The sequence below is a fragment of the Homo sapiens genome, chromosome 9 (assembly GCF_000001405.40).
Source record: "Homo sapiens chromosome 9, GRCh38.p14 Primary Assembly".
NCBI lineage: Eukaryota > Metazoa > Chordata > Mammalia > Primates > Hominidae > Homo > Homo sapiens.
Window position 1 is genome coordinate 93170336 of NC_000009.12, and position 3861 is coordinate 93174196.

General features: G+C 51.5%; 1 annotated feature.

Annotated features, from left to right (window-relative positions):
* Nucleotides 2916–3489: an enhancer, noted in NCBI's record as "H3K4me1 hESC enhancer chr9:95935533-95936106 (GRCh37/hg19 assembly coordinates)". NCBI's record gives its function as "activates a minimal SCP1, AML or CMV promoter by ChIP-STARR-seq in primed H9 embryonic stem cells {active_cell/tissue: H9 hESC(primed)}" and the evidence as "EXISTENCE:reporter gene assay evidence [ECO:0000049][PMID:30033119]".

Below are 3861 nucleotides of genomic sequence, written 5' to 3' on the forward strand. Positions count from 1 at the left end.
CCATGCCCAACTAATTTTTGTATTTTTAGTAGAGATGGGGTTTCACCATGTTGGCCAGGATGGTCTTCATCTTCTGACTTCGTGATCTACCAGCCTCGGCCTCCCAAAGTGCTGGGATTACAGGTATGATCTACTGCACCCGGCTGACCCCCTCTTAAAATTAAAAAAAAAATGAAAAGTTTAGTAAGCAAAAACAGCTCTGCTGCCAATCTCATTCTGGCTGACAATGGGGAATTTCAGGAGGTGTGGTGTCGGGAGCTCTGCCTCACCCTGCTGGGCACCCTTGATTCTTGGAGCTCGGCCTCCTGACCAGTGAGGCCTGGCTCAGGACCAACTGCCTCAGTTTGCATACACTCCCCAGGTACCAGCACGTGACCTTAGGCGGGTGACTTCGACTTAGTGTCTAAGAGCCTGGCTCATCTGTAAACCTAACTCTGTTGGAGATCTTTCTCAGCGCACTTTCACACTTTGTCATTTTTGCCAACCCAAGAGGTAGAACCTGGCATCATGAGGGCTGTCATTGTGGTTTCAATTGGCAATTTTCTCTTCATGAGCAAAGTTGCACGTTTTCATATCTAGAAGCTGTTTGTATTATTTTTCTGAGCAGAATCACCGTTCCTACTTTATAGGGTCATTGTGGGACCTTAAAACAGCACGTGTACATCGGGTCTGGACCAAGCTGTTCCAGAGGGTGACAGTTATTACTATGGAGTGTTGGAGGGGCATGTCCCGTGACTGGGTGACCACCCTGGGTCTGCCCCAGACCATCAGGCTGGGTGGCGCAAAAGTTACCTGTGTGTCTGATCTATGTGGACCCTCTGTGGTCCATACCCCACATAGGGTCTGTAATATGCCAGAACTGGGTAGGAGGTGGGAGGGGGCATGCCCCACCCAGGCCTCAGCAGAATGGGCTCACAACAAGAAGGCTCAAATCTAGGACCCACCCCTGCCCAGCCCCCAGCACCCGTGCTGTGGTCCCCTCTAGGCCACTGCCCTGTGGCTGGGACTGGTGATCCTGTCAGAGACCCCCTGTAGGGGCTGCCTGAGGCCAACGTACTGGCTCCAGGAAAGGCTGCAGTCCTGCTCACCCACCCTACATGTTGAATGCCTGGGGCCTTACTCCTTAGACCACTGAAAATGAGATGTGAAGATAATGCAACCCCTGCACACACAACTGAAAGAATAAGATAAGCCCTACAGCAATATGAGGGAGAGACAAAAGGCAAGTCACTCATAATGAAAAAGTCTGTCCTTGAGCCTATACATGGGAATGCTCAGGTGCATATTCCAGCGCAAGCTCCTGGGGAAGGACCCCGCCTTGGAGACCCCACTCATTTGTGACTTTCCTTGACACAAACAGTGGATGGCTGCCCCCAGCAAAGCATGGGAGGGTCTGTCCCCAAGGCCAAGCCTCTCAGTGCACTTTCATGCTTCCTCGTTTATGCTAGACCAATAGGTAGAACCTGGCGTCATGAGGGCTCTCTGTGGTTTCAATTGGCAATTTTCTTTTCATGAGCAAAGTTGCACTTTTTCCTATCTAGGAGCCATTTTTATTGTTTTTGTGTGTCTGTTTTATTTTTTTTGAGATAGAGTCTCGCTCTGTCACCCAGGCTGGAGTGCTGTGGCGTGATCTTGGCTCACTGCACCTCTGCCTCCCAGGTTCAAGCAATTCTCCTACCTCAGCCTCCGGAGTAGTTGGGATTACAGGTGCACGCCACCACACCTGGCTTATTTTTAAATATTTTTATTTTTTATTTTTTGGTATTTTAGTAGAGACGGGGTTTCACTGTGTTGCCCAGGCTGGTCTCGAACTCCTGAGCTCAGGCAACCCACCTGCCTTGGCCTCCCAAAGTGCTGGGATTAGAGGTGTGAGCCACTACACCCCATTTGTATTGTTTTCCTGTTAATTCTCTACTTACATTTGTCCCTTTATTTCCTGGGTTGTCAGTCCTGCATTCTATTTAGTGCCACACTTTCTGGGTTTTTTTTTGGTGATTTTGTTGTTTCAAATGGCTGCAGGCACCATGCTGAAGAGCTGCCCTGTGTTCTTAAGCATAGAGAAGCTGTGATGTGCCTAGGGGAGAAAATGTGTATTAGAGAAGCTTCCATCACATGTGAGTTATGGTGCTGTTGACTGAGGTTCCCTGTTAACGAATCAACTGCCCATCCAGAAAGAGGAGAGGAAGTGTGCCGATCTGTACATGGAGCTGATTGGAAAGTGTGTTGTGTTTTGCTGGGACACAATGGTTTGGGATTCGCTAATTCAGTGTTCGAAGAGACTACAAAGCATGACTCCCCCAGATCCAAGAATCGACTGTATAAGCCGTAGATCTAGCTCCTGGATTGTGTGGCATTCTTAGAAAGCCCTCCCGCTTGGATCCTCTAGGAAATGACTTTGTCTCATCATCTTCTTCTTCGTCTCCTAATCCTGGGCTCCGTGCCCCTCGTCTGGGCAGCTTCCCGGCTATCCCGGGTGGATGATGCCTCCCACATGGTCTGTCACATGCTACAGTCATTTTCCAAGGCGAGCACTGGGCCATGTGCACAGCAGGCCGTTTGCTAGCGGCCTCACGTCTTCCCCGGGCACACCTTCAGTCTGAATGAGCCAGGCACTTCCAGGGACAGGCACAAGCAACTTGGACTGAGTCTGCTGGAAAAAAACAGAAATCTGGCAGGCAAGTTCATCAATAAGTGGAAAAAACCCTCTTCTATATTCACATGGAGAATGATGCGGCCCCTTTGGGGGTTCTCAAGGGGACTTGGTCGGCTCCAATTGCCAGGCTGCCTGGGGCCCCACTGAGTGCAAATTGGAAACTCTGGGCAGGAGAGACCCCTGCCAGCCCCAGGCCTGAGTCAGGTCGCCCAGCTGGGAGGACAACCCGGCCTTGGCCACGGTCAGAACCTGCCTGGACAGCAGGCATAGACTCTGGTCCGAGGACCCCACCAAGCCCATTGGGTGGGGGCCGAAACTTGTGGCTTCCCGGTTCCTTCTTTCTGCTCTGTCCACACAGACCCCCGCTGGCTCTGTGGTCCTGACACACCTGTTGCTGTGTCCCCTGAAACTCCGTGTCCCCCTGTGGAAATGGAGGTGAGGACATGTGCCCAGGCAGATTGGAACGGGTGGCCATTTCTCCCTCTGTGGGCAGGCATTGCTGGCGAAGCGATGATAAGGAAGCTGGGGGTTCCCAGCCTGAGTTTGCCCAGTGTCAAGAGGACAGCAGTAGCCAGTTTCCCCAAGCTGCCCCAGCACACCTGATGGCCATCTCTGCAGCCTGCAAAAGCCAACACATCTGCCTCCTTCCAGGGCTGCTAAGACCTTCCCCAGGACTCTCTCACAACCAGGAAAGAGGCACCTCCATTGCCCCTTTGACTAATGAGGAAACTGACATTCAGATAAATTAACAAGCCAGTCGAAGGTCATGGCCAGAGGGCGTCGCCAAGGCTTAAATCAGAGCCAGGAGCCTCCAGACCCAAGATTTGAGCTGCATTCGACACTCTCTGCTGAGCCCCCTCCTTCATCTCATGGCCTCATTGGGGGTCTGTCAGCACTCCCTGTCTAAAGACACAGGCGAAACTGCCTCTTGTCTGACATGCAGACGTATGCACAAGAGCAGAAGCATTCACTGGCAGTGCTTTGGTGTATTTCCTTCCGGCATTTCTTCCTGTGCGTTGTCACTTCACAGTATCTCTAATCATTACACAACTCCATGAAGAGCATTTAAATGGCTCAGCCTTTTTTTTAGACAGAGTCTTGCTCTGTCGCCCAGGCTGGAGCTGGAGTGCAGTGGCATGATCTCAGCTCACTGAAACATCTACTTCCCGGGTTCAAGCGATTCTCCTGCCTCAGGCTTTCGAGTAGCT